This window comes from Homo sapiens, chromosome 4, assembly GCF_000001405.40.
Source record: "Homo sapiens chromosome 4, GRCh38.p14 Primary Assembly".
Classification (NCBI taxonomy): Eukaryota; Metazoa; Chordata; class Mammalia; order Primates; family Hominidae; genus Homo; species Homo sapiens.
Genome location: NC_000004.12, coordinates 508710 through 526878, shown reverse-complemented (window position 1 = coordinate 526878; position 18169 = coordinate 508710). Strand labels below are relative to the sequence as shown.

At 49.6% G+C, this 18169-nt stretch overlaps 1 protein-coding gene across 40 annotated transcripts in view; it reads right to left on the bottom strand.

The window, feature by feature from the left end:
* Positions 1-18169, bottom strand: part of PIGG (phosphatidylinositol glycan anchor biosynthesis class G (EMM blood group)) — a 40991-nt gene that overhangs the window by 13322 nt on the left and 9500 nt on the right. For 11 of the 40 annotated variants that reach the window (NR_144326.2, NR_144331.2, NR_144327.2 and 8 more), the window contains 5 exons: positions 17909-18050; positions 10694-10906; positions 5606-5823; positions 4938-5219; positions 2966-3420 (listed from right to left, as the gene is read on the bottom strand). Coding sequence is in view for 29 of the 40 variants with exons in the window: in NM_001345986.2 (NP_001332915.1) it covers positions 2966-3420; positions 4938-5219; positions 5606-5823; positions 10694-10906; positions 17909-18050 (1310 nt within the window). In the remaining 11 variants the exon portion in view is untranslated. Of the gene's footprint in view, positions 1-1074; positions 1709-2965; positions 3421-4035; positions 5220-5576; positions 5824-10402; positions 10541-10693; positions 10907-17908; positions 18051-18169 lie in introns of those variants that run through there. The other 29 variants (NM_001345987.2, NM_017733.5, XM_047415848.1 and 26 more) reach the window with 22 other exon arrangements.

The following is an 18169-nucleotide window of genomic DNA, read 5'->3' as shown; positions in this document are numbered from 1 at the left end:
AAAGTGTAACAAATAAAAGATGGTCAACCTCAGTGGGGTGTGGTGGCTCACACCAGCAATCCCAGCACTTTAGGATGCCAATGCGGAAGGATCGCTTGAGGCCAGGAATTTGAGACCAGTCTGGGCCACATGGTGAGAACTCATTAAAAAAAAAAAAAAAAGACAGTTAACTTGAACTCTCACTTCTCATTCACAAACGGGTCTCCCACCATCAGATGTGGATGCCCAGAGGCCAGGCGGTGACAAATAGAAACCGTCCTCTTGTTCCCTGGTACCCTCTCGGGGTCAGCCCTGCACCTACCAGCTCACCTCCCCTCTCCTGCCTCCTCCCATTAACTCAGTAACGCATGATACGTCCCTAGACCCACATGGCCTCACAGGGTCTGCTGTCACCCGCTCCTGGGTGAGGAGATGGTGCAGAGGTTGACGGCCTGTCAGAGGGCAGAGCCCGGAGTCCCGACCGCGATGCGGTGGTGCAGCACCAGCCAGTCCTGGCCTGTGTGAGGGTGGGGAAGGCCGGGCTCCCTTCTGTTTCTTTCACTGCAGCTCCCGCTTCAAAGCCTCCCAGGATGACGGGGAGACTGGGGCCACACGGGGGCCTGGGCCTCACCCCGGGAAGGGGTACCTGGGTGTCTGTGTATTGTTGCTTTTTAAATGGCACGCGTTTTTACACAATCTTCAGGATTGTTATAATAATAAAATAGAACATTTATAACAATATAATTGTTACTGTCATAGAAATTATATGAATGTGGGCTGCCTCAAAATAACTGTCATATTTTCAGACTATGGTTGACCTCGCGTAAGGAAAACCGCGGATAATGCGGTTGGGGGTGGCTCTTGCATGTGGGGCGGAAAGCCAGCCAATTCTTTCCTAATGCTTTAATTTTCCAGGAAAGTAAGAAACAAGGTGTCAAAGTGCTATTCCGGGACACGGAGCTCCCTGACACACCCGGCTGCTCTACATGCCTGGGATCCCACCCCGATGCTGGCGTGCCCCGCACAACCTCCCAGCAGCCCGTCCCCCCTCCGCTTCCTCACCTCTGGAGTGGGGACCAACCAAAGTCCCCTCTCCGGGGCTTCTCTGGAAAGGAAACGTGCAGGCACACAGCAGGCAGATAGAAGGACCCATCTGCGATGACTTGGCTAACCGAGGTTTTCGTAATTTAGTTAATGCTTAGCCTCCCACAAGAATTACTTAATCAGAAGAATCTGTAATTTCGCAGCTTCTGATGTAAACTTACAAGTATCTTCCAAAAGAACTGTGCCACTAACGTGGCCCCAGGAATCCTCACGTGCTCACCAAGACTGAGTCTCGTCATTCAATTCTGCTTCTCTGCCTCAGCAGGTATGAAGTCACACCCTGTCATTTAACTGGAAGTGCCCTCATTACTAGGACTAGGCATTTCCCTTTTCCTTCTGCTGCCATTTCTTACAGGAGTTCTCTGCAGTGACGGGACCGCAACCCTTGCTGTTACTCTCGCCGCAGATGCTCTCATTGTGCTGCTTCTTTTGCTTTAGTTTCCTAAGTCTTCACTGCCAGACAATTAAAATTTAAGTCTCGGCAAATCTTAGTTATTTTTCTGTCCTGGTTTCTTCTACTTATTTCGAGCCTTGCTTGAAATGATTTGCTATACTTTCTAGGTGGTTTTCCAGTCGCCAATGAAAGGCTCAGGAGGTGGCTGAATTCCCCCACACGGCTCTGTCCCTTCAGGATGAGGAGAGAGAAAAGGGAGGATGGGGAGGAGAAAGGAGCTTTGCTAAGGGCAAAGCTGGCCCACAGAGGCTGCGCCTGCCTTGCCTGGCTGACCCCGTCCTTCTTGCTGCCCTGGGGATCATCAGCAGCAGGATAGGGGTCTGGGGGAATGACATGGCTTAGATGTTTGTCCACTGCAAATCTCATATTGAACTTGGACCTTCAGGCTGGGCACAGTGGCTCACGCCTGTAATCCCAGCACTTTGGGAGGCCGAGGTGGGTGGATCACTTGAGGTCAGGAGTTCAAGGCCAGCCCAGCCAACATGGTGACACCCCATCTCCACTAAAAACACAAAAATTAGCCAGGCATGGTAGCGGGCGCCTGTAATCCCAGCTACTCAGGGGGCTGAGACAGGAGAATCTCTTGATTGCAGTAAGCCAAGATCGTGCCACTGCACTCCAGCATGGGTGACAGAGTGAAACTCCGTTTCAGAAAAAAAAAAAAGACACTGAACCTCCAGTGTTGGAAGTGAGCCTTGTGGGAGACGTCTGGGTCATGGGGGCAGATTCCTCACGAATGGCTTGGTGCCATCTTCGCAGTAATGAGCGCATTCTCGCTGTGGCTGTTCACAAGAGAGCTGATGTTTAAAAGTGCCGGACACCCTCCTCATCCCTCTCTTTCTCCTGCTCTCGCCACGTGAAGTGCTGGCTCCTGCTTTGCCCTCGCCATGACCGCCAGTTTCCTGAGGCCTCTCCAGGAGCAGATGCCGACACCATGCCTCCTGTGCAGCCCGCAGAGCTGAGAGCCAAGATGAACCTCTTTCCTTACATGTGACCCGGCCTCAGGTGTTTCTTTATAGCAACACACGAATGGCCTGACACAGGCAGACACTGAGTGATGGGCGGGGGGCACACAGCCCAGGCATGGACGAGGCGTCCAGAACAAGCCACTAGCAAGCTTGACCCCCACATAGCATCTTTACTATATAATGATCACTGAAACACAAGTTTTCAATCATGAACAGTTACAGTGGTTCAGCACTAATAAATGAAACCTGTTAGGCTAGCCCCCAAATAAATTCACTTCTCAACATTGATTCTAGTATCCAGTAAAACACTGGTTTTAGTGTATTTTCCCAATTCTTCAGATCTCAAATACTATCCCATTCTTAATATGAAAAATGGTCTCAATTTAGAAAAAGAAGAGCTTGGCAGGTGACCAATCGGCCGTAGAAAGTCTGGCCTGTGGCCACGGGCCTACGCTCTCACCTGGTGAGCCAGTGGCCGAGGTCAGGCCGGTGAGCCCACTGCACACCTGTCTGGTTTAGGGAGCGCAGCAGCCGGCAGCAGGCCAGTATTAGCCACGGACTGGCCAGCACCATCCACTTCTCGCGGCCTCTGAGCACTTCGGAGGTAGAGGGGCTTCCGTGGCCTTTGTCTCGCTCCAGGACATCACAGCCAGGCCCGTCCTGCCACGCTGCTGTGGCCCCGTCATGCCCTTGTTCCACACAGAGGCCACACGGAGGCTCACCGTCATCTCCCAGAAAGTAGTTTCTGTAGGTTTCTTGGCTCAGAGCTAGACACAGGGTGTTCACAAGGAAGTACCAGGTCTGGTGCTCCTCCTCCACGAAGCTGCTGGCGCCCAGGCTCAAGACGTGGCCCGCCGTCCCCAACAGAATAAGAAGGTCTAGCTCTGACCACCTTGAGCTGGGATGCATGGGGTTCTGTGAAAAGGAAAGTGCACTTTGTAAGAGACGGTCTGATAACGACACACATCTTGCTGCATGTCAAGTCCTTGCTCACAGCAGAGAATGCCCTGGACACACACCATTGTTCCTCACACCCAGCACCTGGGCCCCTACTCTGGAACAGCCCCCTTCTGCTCCAACGGCAGGAACCTTCCTCTTGGGACGCAGCCTGCAGGAGTGGAGACGCCCTCAGCCCAGGCAGGGGAGCCGGACACTGCACGGCCAGCCAGCTGTTCTCACACTGGACTCCAAGTCCCAAGGTGAGTGACAAAGACTGAAAATGGTCAGAACCCTCTGGGCAGTGGTGCAGCCCAGAGAGCTTGCCCAAAGGCTCCTGGACCCGGCCCTCCACGCTCCCGCTTCCAGGCTCTGGAAGAGCTTAGGTCTTCAGATGCACGTCGCCAGTGCCTGCTTCTTGAAACCAAAGAACCTCAACAATACATCCCACCAAACCAGACCTCAAATTTCTCCAGGAATATTCTAGAAATCCAGAACGTTTCCACTAAAATGGTTAATTCTGTTGAAATGACAAAGTTGGCATCACAGTACTGTCTCTTAAATATACTAACTTAAAGCAGTCAAAAGTAAAGATGAGGACTCAATTATTGCCGTTTATTCTTTTGGTAACTACATACTGCGTGCAGCTAGGTACTAATTCAATAGCAGGAGAGAGAGCATGAGCCCAGATGGGCCCGAGGTGCAAGCGTGGCACAGATCATCCTGGCTCCGAGGAAGCCTGTGCCCTGATGACAAAGCTGTGAGTGTCTCGGTCAGACACTCAGCACAGGGCCTCTGACGGCTCAAGCCAAGAGGGGATGAGGGCTGCGCAGGGTTGGGGTGGGGGCCCAACAGTCCTGCTGCCACTGCAGTGGGTCCCTTGATCCTGGGCTCTGTGGATCTGAGTGTGACCATCCGCCTCTTCCTCACTGCCTCACCACCACTCCCCAGCTAACGAATGAAGGTGTCCGAGGCCAAGGACTAAGAATTCCAACAGAAAACGTCCGCCTTGGAAAGAAATCTGGACCTGATGAGGCAGGATGCATTCTGGGGGTGGCAGGATGAGTGGTGCGACCAAGTCTCCTTTTGACCCTCCTGAGTGTCCAGGCCGATTGTCTCTTCTTCCCTCAGCTGCAGCTCCCACACCTCTGCTGGGAGGCTGTCCGATTCACACACCCCCTCAGCGGGGGGGCTTGTTCCTCTGTGACCGCCAGCTCTTTACAATCACCTTGGTAACAGTCGCAGGAACCTAGCTTTCCAAGAACTGAGGCATCTGACCTGACAGCACAGATGTGAACACCTGTGTCGGGACACCCAGAGGCCTGGGATAAGGCTGCTCCACGTCCTTCCCTGAGGCCCCCTGTCCAGGGCACTGCCAGCACGTGGCACACACCAGGTGTTCAACCAGAGTCTGGTAAACGAAAGGCAGCCTGAAATAACAAGAACAACCTGAGCAGAAGGACTACGTCACACTCCCAGGAACCAGCCGTACGTACCTTCCTTGGGGTGTTTCCACCCACGAGCACGTTGGTCAGAACAGACACAATCACACACAGCAGCGCCGAGGCCAGCACCATCACCCCACCTGCCGCCAGCCACGAGAGGCCACAGAAGTAGCACGAACTTTCAGCTGAGGTGCACACAATGACGTGAACGGCCGAAAGAACCAGGATCACCAAATAAAAGAGCAGAGAAAACCCAGGAGATGACAGTGGGACTTCCAGCTCAGCCTTTCTGCGCAGTGCCTGTGGGACGCTGAGCAGGAGCAGGGTGAGAACCTGGAACAGAGAAACAGCAGCATCCACAGACTGCTGGGCTTGGAGAAACCCACTTAAAAATAAGCCCAGCTCCCGCTCTCGTGTCAGCTGTCCACACAGTAAAAACAGAAAAGCAAGCTCAGGAAAAGATGATTCCTAATTAACTGCCCCAAAATGCATGGCATGATTTTTTTTTATCACCTGCAGCAATACTGAGTGAGGCCAATTGACACTGACAATACTCTGGGTCTTGTCACAAATCAGGACACACCACGAAAGAGTTAAACAAGAAAATTAATATTTTCCCATTTTTAATAACACCTATATATATATTTAAAACTATAAATATTTGGCTGAGTTATCAAATCAATGCAACACCTGAGCCATGACTGTGTGAGCATCTGTACCTCCAAAACCACGACAGTCCCCACCATCATCGAATAGATGTCGTACTGGGCCACTTGTGCACTCAGGGACAAGCTCAGCGTCTTCAGAGCATCCAGGTACTGCCTGAGAACCTTGGAGCCCAGGTTGAATAGGACTTCTGAATGCTTTTCCTCCAAGTACAGTCTGATCCAGTTCCCATGCAATCTTTCTGACATTTTAAACTGCTCAAACCCAGGATCTATTAAGAAGACAGAAAGGTTACAGGCGCGCACACACACCGTGAACATACATTTATATACATAATCTCAAAGTATTCGGTTATGCATGGCACACGGCAAAGCCTTCACTTTTCACAACTGACGCTTAATGAAGATCAATCATTCCTTTGGGTGGGGGGTCTGCAACGCCTTCTGTAAAGCTGGGAAAGCTGCCAATGTGCATCCATCTGCCCTCTGGCGATGCAGGCCTTGGTCCTTGGCATACACCCGCGGATGGCAGTGACTGACCCCTGTGCTGCCTGGCCTCCTTCTCTGCCTCCCTCATCGCTCTTACTTCCTTCTCCCTGTTCTGTCTCTTTCCACTCTCTCCTTCTTGTCAACGTGCAATATAAAAACAATCCTGAAATGCATTATGTCAACAGTCAGGTTTTAGAGTCTTTCTAACCCTTACAGCACTGTATGGGGACTGGGCAGGCAGCGGCCTGACCCTTCTCTGCCACACCCACTTCCCCAGTGCAGACTGGCCCTTCCCGACCTCTAACGTCCCCCGTTCTGCAGCCTGGGTTACTTCCTTACAACCTCTTTGGAAAGAGAGCTTCCAGCCCTCTCTGCTCACAAGGGTGAGCTCTGCTGGGCGCATGGATGCCCTGCCTCTGGATGGAGCCCTGCCCCTCTGCTATGGCAACCTCTTTTAAACCACAGTGCCATGCTGCTCACGGCACAGCTGATGTTCTTTCTTTCCCGAGCTGGCTGATGCGTGAGCCTCTGCCGGGACCACACTCACTTGTGATTAGACTGGTCTGCAAAGCAACAACTTCCTTCCTGAGACCCCCTCGGTATTTGACATGAGCTTCCTACTCCAGAAGAGCCATGCCAAGAAGGGTCTCAGCTGTGCCTCTTGGCAGGCTCGCCCCACCCTGTGGCTCTGCATGCCCCAGGCCTGCTATCACAGCAGTGAAAGAGCTGCCACAGGCGCTCAAGCCACTGAGGTCCAGGGTGCTGTGGCACAAGTCCCTGAGCATGAACTCATACGCCTGCAGGCCCGCCCCACTGCTGCCGGCACCAGGTCCCTGAGCGTGAACCCACACGCCTGCAAGCACACCCGACTGCTGCAGGCACCAAGTCCCTAAGCATGAACCCACACGCCTGCAGGCCCACCCCACTGCTGCCGGCACCAGGTCCCTGAGCGTGAACCCACACGCCTGCAGGCCCACCCCACTGCTGCAGGCACCAAGTCCCTAAGCATGAACCCACACGCCTGCAGGCCCACCCCACTGCTGCCGGCACCAGGTCCCTGAGCGTGAACCCACACGCCTGCAGGCCCACCCCACTGCTGCAGGCACCAAGTCCCTAAGCATGAACCCACACGCCTGCAGGCCCACCCCACTGCTGCCGGCACCAGGTGCTCTGCACTAAGTGCCAGTAGCCAGCAACACTAGGCGGCTCGCTCGTTTCACCTCCCTAATGACCCTATGAGGCAGGGATGAGCATCAGAACTGTTATCCAGAGGAGGCAACTGAGACACAGAGGGTGAGTCACGCACCTGGGCCACAGTGCCAGTGGGTAAAAGCTGCAAATGAAACTCAGGCAGTCTGGTTCCAGGGCTGGCATCCTTCATTGCTACACCTACCACCCTGGATGGGGGGACGCCTGTGTCCACACCCCACCGCCTATCAGAGAGTCACAAAGCTATGGGGGTGCACCTGTGCATGCATCGAAACAAATATCCATGGAGCGTGGACGACGTGCCAGGCACTGTGCCAGGCGCTGTGCCAGGGGAGACACAGCATGGCGAGCAAGCAGGTGCAATCCTTGCCTGCTGGGGCTTGGATCCAGTAGGGCTCACAGACACGCACGCACGCACACAAGCGTAATTACAAACTGTGACTGCATTACAGCTGTAATTACAAGTTTCCCAGGAAGGAAAAGTAGAGGGTATCAATGAGGGATTTTTGGTAATGGGGAGGAACTGATTTTGGATTGGGAGTGGGCGCTGGACCAGGAAGGTCTGATGTTTACGCTGAAATGTAAACGGTACCCAGGAATTCGCCAGGCAAAAAACTGCAGGAAGAGCATCAAGCTGATGGGAACAGCATGTGCAAAAGTCCAGAGGTGAGAAAAAGCCGGTCCCACTACACTGAGAGAGCCGGGTGGGCACAAAGCCTCCAACAGACTGGACGCCACCGAGGGACTGCACGGGCCTGGCTGTGGGTTCTAAAACGTATTTCAGTGTCAGAACACATACCCCATTTTGTTTTAGGAAAAAGGATCCCCGACGGTGTAGACAATGGGCCGCCAGGGGGGGTTCCAGACGCTGTGGCTGTGTTTTCAGTCAAGGGAGGCTCCTGCATTCCTTTAACAGGCTGGTTTCCTCTCATATCCACTGTGGTTCCCATCTTCCCCCAGCCACTACTTCTGGAACAGGCAAATAACCCTTCCATTGTTGTTTTGATTTTGTTGGTATCTTTTTTGTTTTGTTTTTTGAGATGGAGTCTCGCTCTGTCACCCAGGCTGGAGTGCAGTGTCGCCATCTCGGCTCACTGCAAGCTCCGCCTCCCGGGTTCACACCATTCTCCTGCCTCAGCCTCCCGAGTAGCTGGGCCTACAGGCGCCTGCCACCATGCCCAACTAATTTTTTGTATTTTTAGTAGAGATGGGGTTTCACTGTGTTAGCCAGGACGGTCTTGATCTCCTGACCTTGTGATCCCCCCGCCTCAGCCTCCCAAAGTGCTGGGATGACAGGCGTGAGCCACCACACCTGGCCAATTTTGTTGGTGTTTTTATCACTCTTAGCGTAGAAAAAAGGACACAGTAACAAAACAAGCAATATGCAAAAGCTACCAAACTCATACTATTTTTTAAAAAACGAAAAGCACAAGTCACTGTTGTCCCTGGTCTTGACTAAAATGGCTCCATGGCCAAAGTCCTCCACCTCACAGGGTGAGAGCTGGTGCTCGGTGGGGCCTCCAGACACTCATCACATCCGGTTCCCAAGCACTCCTTGGCTGGCCAGGTTTGTCTTCCACACGTGACTCTAGGAGGCCGGTTTACATCTCAGCGCAAGCTTGTGGACGTTCACTCTATTTGGTAGTAATAGTATCCCTCTACTTCAAGTAGGGAAATCTGCCAACACCACATTAACTGCTGCCCCCAAATAGGAGTCGACTTCCTCCGGGCTCTCAAAGGAGTCCCAGTATCAAACATGATTCTTGATGAACGCGGCTGCGTCAGAGTCGATTGTCTGAAGACATCCCAGGGAGACAAACGTTCCTCTCCTGGACCCTTCCTGTAGCTGTCTCCTGGCACCTCCCTTGGCCCCACACCTGCCTCAGGCAACTCCACCTCCTACTCCCATTAGAGTCGCAGTGTCTGCTGCCTAGGGCTCTCGCCTGCCTAGTACCAGCCAGGCCTTCCCCCACTCTCCATCTGACGAAGCCACTCATCACCCTCCATGGCCAGATCCAAAGCTCAGTTCTCAATTCCTGATTTTATTCAATACCAACCTTTGACGCAGCTGCCCACTCCATGCTTCCTGAAATTACTTCTTTACATGGCTTCCTGGACACCAACACCCCCACCCACAAGCACCTGCCTTGCAGAACTGTTCCTCCTAAGTCGTGCCCTCCTGAGGAAATTATTACTCTCTTTGCTTTCAGCTGAAAGCCCCGGAGTCGTACCTAACGCCTCTGGTCTGCTCGTACCCAATATCGCAGCACGTGAGCAAATCCTGTCTTCATGACCTTCAGAATCTTTCCAGAATGCAACCACTTCTTCACCACCCTTGCCTGGGCCCTGGCCACCCTCACCTCTCACAGAAGTACAGCCACTGCCTCCTGACTGGTCTCCTCCTACAGCACAAAGCAGAATCCTCCACGAGGGCGCCTGAGACAGCCTTCGAAAATGCAAGTGGGAGACTCTGGCTCTCACCAAACCCTGCAGCAGCTCCCCATTTAACTCAGAATACAAGTGAAAGCCCTTCCAGCGCCCAGTGGCCCTCACCCCTTAATGCCATCTCCTCTGCCCTGCCCTTGCCACTCTGGCCCCTGCTCTGACCATCCCCTGAATGTGCGCCCCATGGAGGACCCTGTCTGCTGCCCCCACAGCCTGTAATGTGCCCTCCCAGATGGCCAGCGGCCAGCCTGCCCCAGTGGCTCCCCCACCCGCTTCACTTCCCACCCCACGCCTGTTTATTCCTTCTTTTTTTTTTTTTTTTTTTTTTTTGAGGCAGAGTCTTGCTCTGTTGCCAGGCTGGAGTGCAGTAGCGCGATCTCAGTTCACTGCAACCTCCACCTCCAGGGTTCAAGCGATTCTCCTGCCTCAGCCTCCTGAGTAGCTGGGATTACAGGTGCCCGCCACCATGCCTGGCTAATTTTTGTATTTTTAGTAGAGACGGGGTTTCACTGTGTTAGTCAGGCTGGTCTTCAATTCCTGACTTCATGATCCGCCTGCCTTGGCCTCCCAAAGTGCTGGGATTACAGGCGTGAGCCACCGCACCCAGCCCTGTTTATTCTTTTCCTAAGGTACTCGTCACCATCGGCCATCGATCACTTCCTTTTCTCTCCTCCCTCTGGAAGGTTCCATGAGGGCAGAGCCTCGTACCTGCTCTGTCTCCAGTGCCTGTTAACAGCCTCTCATTCATAACAAGATCCTGGTAAATAGTTGTTGAATGAATAAATTTATGAAAGAACTTTAGATAACTGCATCTGAGGGTGCTGCCAATGGTGATAGTTCAAAGTTCTAAGAAAACAGAAACACAATCTGTATCATCAAAGAGTAGTGATGAAAAAATACTCCTGTGACAAACTGCATACCACAGAAACACATCGGAGAAACCCGAGCTCAGTGGAAACACACAGCTCTGACAGAGCTCGAAACGGTGAGTTGACTGACCTTTTTCATATGACGGCACATTCTCTTGCAACAGTTTACTAAGCTGCACTGTATTCAAATGTAAAAATCTCAACTGCTCTCTCATTGGTCTTCCTTCCACAACTGGGAATAGGAGGCTCCCTACACTGTCTTTTGGAATCGGTAAGCCAAGTGCTATCGCCAGTGTCGCAGCCACATCCGTCTGTTGGACGTGCTTTGGATGTCGGATATCACCTAGAAGAAAGAAAACATTTTAAGTAACAGACTTCTAGAAAGTGTAAGATGGTACTCATTCTTGAATTAGACCTTCTACAACTAACATGAGCCAAATGATCCGTCTCTTCACACCACTCAACACAGAATCGTACAGGAATCACCTCCTGTGCTTGCTGTGTTGATAGTTACCGAACCCATTCTATGCCAGGGACGGTGTCTTTCCTTCAGTAGCCTGCAACAGGCTGCGAGAGAGGCTCATGTGAGGAATTCCATACAGTAAGGGCTACGGAGCATGGGCTGAACACAGAGGAAGCAGGTGGTCCCGCAGACACGGAGGGACTGTCACTTTGGCAAGGTCAACAGCCAACCGGAGAATGAAGTGAGGCTGGGATCGCTGACAGCCCGGCCCCTCTGGATTTGGAGCATCCCATGCTCTGCCCTCTACGAGCACACATGCTGTTGCTCATGGAGAAAATAAACCCTTCACGGCTCCTGGGCAGCTGTGGGTGCTTCTATAGGGGAGCGCAGAATGAGGCAGGTTCAGCTGGGCCGGGTGCTCTAATCAACTTGGACAAGCTGGACATCTGCCTGCTGGCTAAAGCTCAAGCCTGAACAGTGAGTGGCTATCCTACCATCTCCTTGCAAGAATGGCTGTGATGTCAGCACCATGGGCCTAGGCCACTGCTCTGCCACCATCCACTATGATTTCGGAGCAGAAACTCAACTTGGTCGAAGTGTTTTCATCTGTAAAGACAGCAAACAGCTCCACACCCTGGAATTCAACGTACACCGGCAGGGCGCCAAGAGGCCACAGGGACGGCTACTCAGGATAGGTGGTGCGTGAGGTGTCTTTAGATACTCAGGTGTGAGTCTGGGGAGGTTTTACTTTGATTGTGGTAAGTTTTTTGTAGCGAGTTTTTAATTTGGTCAAATTTATTAATCAGGTCTTGGCCAACTCTCTAATGACGGCTTCTAGGTCATGCTTAGAAAGAACCTTCCACTCCAGTGTGGCCGTTTTCTTCCAGTACTTCTTTCTTCTAGTATTTTCTTACATTAAGTGCTTTGAGCTGACACAAAAAATAAAACACAAAGACAAAAACAAACCCACCTTAAATTGCTTTTGACCCTCATACTGGTAGTGGCAGCACTGGCATTGTTATTCTGAGACTGTTGCGTGTCTATTGCGGGATAAAGCCAATGAGTCATTATGTGATATGCTAATTCTATCATATCTGGAGTTGCTGACAACCAAGATTCTAAACTTAGGAAGAAGAAAGTACAGATGTAAGACCTAAGAAGTCATTTTACAGTTTTGAAGGTGAATCGATACAAACACAAGATCATTTTATCTTAAAACAATTTCTTCTTTCTGTCTAGAAACAATGACCAACCACTCAGAGCTAGCACTGGTAGCTCTGAGACAGTGATCTTGAAATACCACCTTCCACTAAAAAGAAGCAGGGCATCCTGGAGAAATCGCTGACTGTAGGTCTCAAGAAGGAAATGTGCACGAGTAAACTGTAGTAAAGCAAAGAGTTTTGGGGCTGGGGACCTACAGATTTACAGAGACTTAAGAGACACATAAACAAATCACAGTGTATGGTCTTATTTGTAGCCTGATTCAAACAAGCTGAAACACCTAAAGAGAGAGAAACAGATATTAGAGATATGAACACTACTCAGTGATATTAAGGAATTAACACTATTTTTTAAATGTGATAAGGGTATCAAGATTATGGGGGTAAAGAGCACGTACCTTTTAGAGGTCTGCTTCCAAATAATAAAGGAGAAGGGAAATGAGTGTGGGCACGGATGAAAGAAGATTGGCTGTAATTGGCCAGTAACTGGTGAAGCTGGACTTGGGGGTTTATTATACGACTGTGACTACCGTTCTACATCCAGAATTTTCCATACTGTAGTCTTTTAAAGACGTTAACATGCTTTGACCTGGATTGATATTGTTGTAAAGAATAAGGCAGAGAGTCTGCATTACCTTTTTCCAAAAGGTCAGCCAGGGGTACCAGCATCATTTATTGAGCACCATGTCTTCTCTGCACTAATCTGAGATGCCACCTTTGTCACCAAGTCCCCAGATACACTGAGGTCTATTTCTGGCCTCTTGATTTTGCACCTTTGATTGGTTTGTGACCAGTTCTTGCCTGCACAAACTATTTTAATAACTGTAATTCTGAAATACAAACACAGGGTAGGCCTGTGGATTGCGCCCCACTGACGATAAGGGGCCATGAAAGAAGTTCCAGCACTTCAGAAAACCATTCCCACAGCCCAGCAGCATCCTTTCACCGCCGGTCTCTACCTCCACTGGCTCGCCTGCTGAGTCTTCAACATTCAATCCACAAATGATAAAACATCCACTAGGTGCCAGGTACCAGGGGAACAGAACAACAAACAGGGTCAAACATTCTAGTAGCAAGAGGCCGAAAATAAAACAGACCTGCTCTGCCCTCTGTGGAAGTCCAGGTACAGGCATGCTCTCCTTCCCACACCCCTTGACTCTGGAGTGGCCAGACCTGTACTGCCCACACAGGGAGGTCAGCACTCTAGGGGTGGGCGGTGGTGGGCTGAAGGTCTCTGAAGTCACTCACTACACAATCCAAAACCGCTTATTTTCAAAATAATAAGCATTTTAACATTTATTTTTATTAACATAACAAAACAAAAATTTCCGTGCATTTTTAAGATAAAAATCCTTCAGAACTATAGGGAATAGTGTTAAGAGTAGCTCCATAAACTTGCTTATCAATAAAACAAGCATAAGTGGTAAACATTTTAAAAACCACCACTACCACCATTCACAGTCTCTGGAAATTGTCTAGGGATACAGAACAAACAAAGAAATCTTTATTCAAGAAAATCCACTAGGCCTTGGTAAGAAGCCTAAGAGTCTGCAGCCCTTGAACCGTGGCCTGCTCCCTCCCTCCCCCTCCTAGCCCAGTGGGGCAGAAACTCTCCTGTGGTGGGTGCAGCCCAGAACACAGAGCTCCCTTTCCCCCAGCTCCAGAAGGAGGGTTGGTTATACGATCTCCCTCTCATTCCCCCAGCTCCCGATAGAGGATTATGCGATCTCCTTCCCATCTCCCCATGCTCTTCTTTTCCTCATCAAATAGAGAATATCAATAAAGAGATAAAAATTATTATTATTATTATTACTATTTTTAGATGGAGTCTCACTCCGTCGCCAAGCTGGAGTGCAGTGGTGCGATCTCGGCTCACTGCAACCTCTGCCTCCCGGGTTCAAGTGATTCTCCTGCCTCAGCGTCCTGAGTAGCTGGGATTACAGGCGCCCACCACCACATCTGGCTAATTTTTGTACTTTTAGTAGAGACGGGGTTTCACCGTGTTGGTCAGGCTGGTCTCGAACTTCTGCCCTTGTGATCCACCCGCCTTGGCCTCCCAAAGTGCTGGGATTACAAATGAGCCACCGTGCCAGGCCAGAAATTATTTTTTAAAAAGCATCAAATGAAACTCTGGTGTTAAAAAAATATGATAATGGTTGGGAGGCCGAGGTGGGCAGATCACAAGGTCAGGAGTTTGAGATCGGCCTGGCCAATAATGTGAAACCCTGTCTCTACTAAAAATACAAAAATTAACCGGTGGTGGTGGGTGCCTGTAATCCCAGCTACTCGGGAGGCTGAGGCAGGAGAATAGCTTGAACCCGGGAGGCGGAGGTGGCAGTGAGCCGAGATCGTGTCACTGCACTCCAGCCTGGGTGACAGAGCAAGACTCCATCTCAAAAAAAAAAAAAAAAAAAAAGTATGATAACTGAAACAGAAAATTCACTAAAGGGGTTTAACAATAGACTTGAACTGGCAGAAGAAAGAACCAGCAATTTAAAGATAGATCAATAGAGATTATGCAATTTAAACAACTGAAAATTTTCCAAATTTGATGAAACACATCAACCTACACATGCAAGAAGCTCAATGAACTCCAAGTTGAGTAAACATAAAATACAGATACATTATAGCAAAAATGGTAAAAGACAAAGAAATGGGAAACCCAATTAGATTAAGAATTGACTTTTCATCAGAAACCATGGAGGCCAGAAGGCGGTGAGACAGCACATTCAAAGTGCTGAAAGAAAAAACAGCCAACCCAGTCTTACAGTCAGCAAAACTCCTTCCAAAAAGAAGACAAAATAGACATCCCGGATATTTTCTAAAACAAAAAATTCTTTGCTAGCAAATCTGCCTTACAAGAAATACTAAAAGAAGTTCTTCAGGCTGAAAGCCAGTGACTCTAGATCAAATTTCAGGTACATAAAAAAGCAAAGAGCATCAGTAAAGGTAATCATATAATTATGAAAGACACTATAAAAGCATTTTCTTCTTTCCTCTCCTGATTTAAAAGCAATTATATAAAACCATGTCTATATCACTATGCCATCAGTTTATAACATACAGAAAAGCAACATATTTGACAATAACAGCACAGAGGTGGCGGGTGGGGGCACAGCTATACTGGGTAAGAAAATGACAACATAGGAAATATACATCCACACAAAAAGCTACACACAGATGATCACAGCGTCATTATTCATCACAGCCAGAAAGTGGAAACAACCCAAATGTCCATCAGCTCAAGAATGGTCAATGAATGTGTTAAATCCATGCAATGGAAGACTATTTAATAACAAAAGAAATGAAGTCTTCTTTTTTTTTTTTTTTTTTTTTAAAGATGGGGAGTTTCACTCCTGTTGCCCAGGCTGGAGTGCAATGGCACGATCTCGGCTCACTGCAACCTCCGCCTCCTGGGCTCAAGTGATTCTCCTGCCTCAGCCTCCCAAGTAGCTGGGGTTACAGGCATGCGCCACCACACCCAGCCAATTTTGTATTTTTAGTAGAGACGGGGTTTCTCCATGTTGGTCAGGCTGGTCTCGAACTCCCGATCTCAGGTGATCCACCCACCTCAGTCTCCCAAAGTGCTGGGATTACAGGTGAGAGCCACAGTGCCTGGCCTAGAAATGAAGTCTTGATACATGCTATAACTATGAACCTGGAAAAACACTATCCTACATGAAAGAAGCCAGGCACACGAGACCATATGGTTTCATTTACACAAAACATGCAGAAGAGGCAAATCTACAGACAATGACGCTGATTACCTAGGGTTGGGGGAGGGAGAGAAGACTGGGCTGGGGAAGAGGAAGGTGGCTGCAGAAGAGTATGGGGTTTCTTTCTGAGGTGAGGAAAATGATGTAAAATTGACTGTGATGATGGTGGCCCAATGCTGTGAGTACACCAGAGTACAGTCCTGGCTCACGAAACAGGTATGATGAGAATAAAGAAAACAAAACAGAACCAACTCTCAGGACTGAAGCTGGTGATGAGTCCGGCACTTGCAGGCAGCCTGCACGCATGCAGCTGCCCCCACCATTCCTAGCTCTGCTCAGGTCAGACATTCAAGATGAAGAAGTGTTGGGAACAAGCCTCCCAAAATCTGGCCATAAACTGGCCCTAAAACTGGCCATAAACAAAATCTCTGCAGCACTGTGACATGTTCATGATGGCCATGACGCCCACGCTGGAAGGCTGTGGGTTTACGGGAATGAGGGTAAGGAACACCTGGCCCGCCCAGGGTGGAAAACCGCTTAAAGGCATTCTTAAGCCACAAACAATAGCATGAGAGAACCGTGCCTTAAGGACATGCTCCTGCTGCGGTTAACTAGCCCCATCTATTCCTTTAATTCAGCCCATCCCTTCGTTTCCCATAAGGGATACTTTTAGTTAATTTAGAATCAGTAGAACCAATGCTAATGACTGGTTTGCCGTTAATAAATACGTGGCTAAATCTCTCTTCAGGGCTGTCAGCTCTGAAGGCTGTGAGACCCCTGATTTCCCACTTCACACCTCTGTATTTCTGTGTGTGTGTCTTTAATTCCTCTAGCGCTGCTGGGTCAAAGTCTCCCGGACCGAGCTGGTCTCGGCCAAGAAGCTTCATAAAAAGATATAAGAGGTCAGGTGGAGATCATGGTGGGCAAAAGAGACATGGTCCTGTCCTCATCTGGCTTAAAGTGTAATGTGGAGGCAGATGTTACATGAATCCCATAAATAAACAAAATCCATCAATAAGTCTGCAATGACAAATTATGCCAAGAATGATGAATGGGGACACTTAGAGAGATCAATCTGACCGGTGTGGGGCCTATCCACGGCATTTACAACCACAGAGGCAGATGAGACCGTATCTCCAGGGCTAATGCAGAACGAAACAAGAAGGCAGTCCAGTAAAAAAGACCAGGGAAAGGAAACTAGGCTGGCAAAGGAGAGAAAAGGAGGAAAACCAGAAAGATGTGAGGTCCCAGAAGCTACGGGACCAGCAGCACTAAGGGTGCTGAAGGGTCAGTGAGAGCAGCGCCCGAAAGCGTCTGCTGTGCCTGACGGCAGAAATTACCGCTGAGCTCACCAAGAGTGAGGCAGCGAGTGTGGCAGCAGAAGCCAGGCGCAAGTGGAAGGCAGCCGCCGACAGGACAGCAAGGCCGGCGGCCGCGAGGGCAGAGTGCATAGGCTGGCGGCTGAGTCTGGGCACAGGTCAGAGTGGGGTGTGTGTGTGTTTGGGGCGTGTCTGAATACTGACAGACGGGGCCTCTGTCTGTCCTGCTCTGGCCGGGTCCCATGACTCTTGTTGACACTGCTATTCAATAGATGGTTTACAATAATGCAAACTTTTAAAAAAGCCGAGGTATTCACGTTTCCTTCAGTTCACACATGCTGTCCAGATGTCTCTGAGCTACTGGCAATTTTTCTCAACAGTTCCAGATATCCAGGCAGCAACATTCATACAACAAAATTCTGACAAAGAATAACTGTATTTTAAGGATTCGGGAAGGAACGTAACTTCAGATCCCAAAAGCCTTTTGCCCAATTACTTTTCATGCTCACATTGCTTGGGGACTTCAACCTTATGGAGCTTCTAAAAAATAGGTTTTCAAAATTAAAACCAGACTATAGAAAACAAATGTAATACAATTTCCAACTGTTAACATTCCTAAATTCTCACCGGGTTTCCTTTCAAACGCAGAACTGATTAAAATCAGAGGTGTATTCACCTCCTCGGTGGAGGAGGCCCCGTGACTTCCTGTTTCAGACATGCCATGGTCACCACAAAGAACCAGCAAATTGGGTAAAGGCGTCTCTCTCTCCTTTAAGGCAAAGGAAAAACATTTCAACTGCGTTCAGACTGAAGAGAGCACATCATCTTAAGAAGACAATTTTCGGTTTTAGCTTTACTTTATAGAGTTGTAGCTCTTTCTCAATGAAT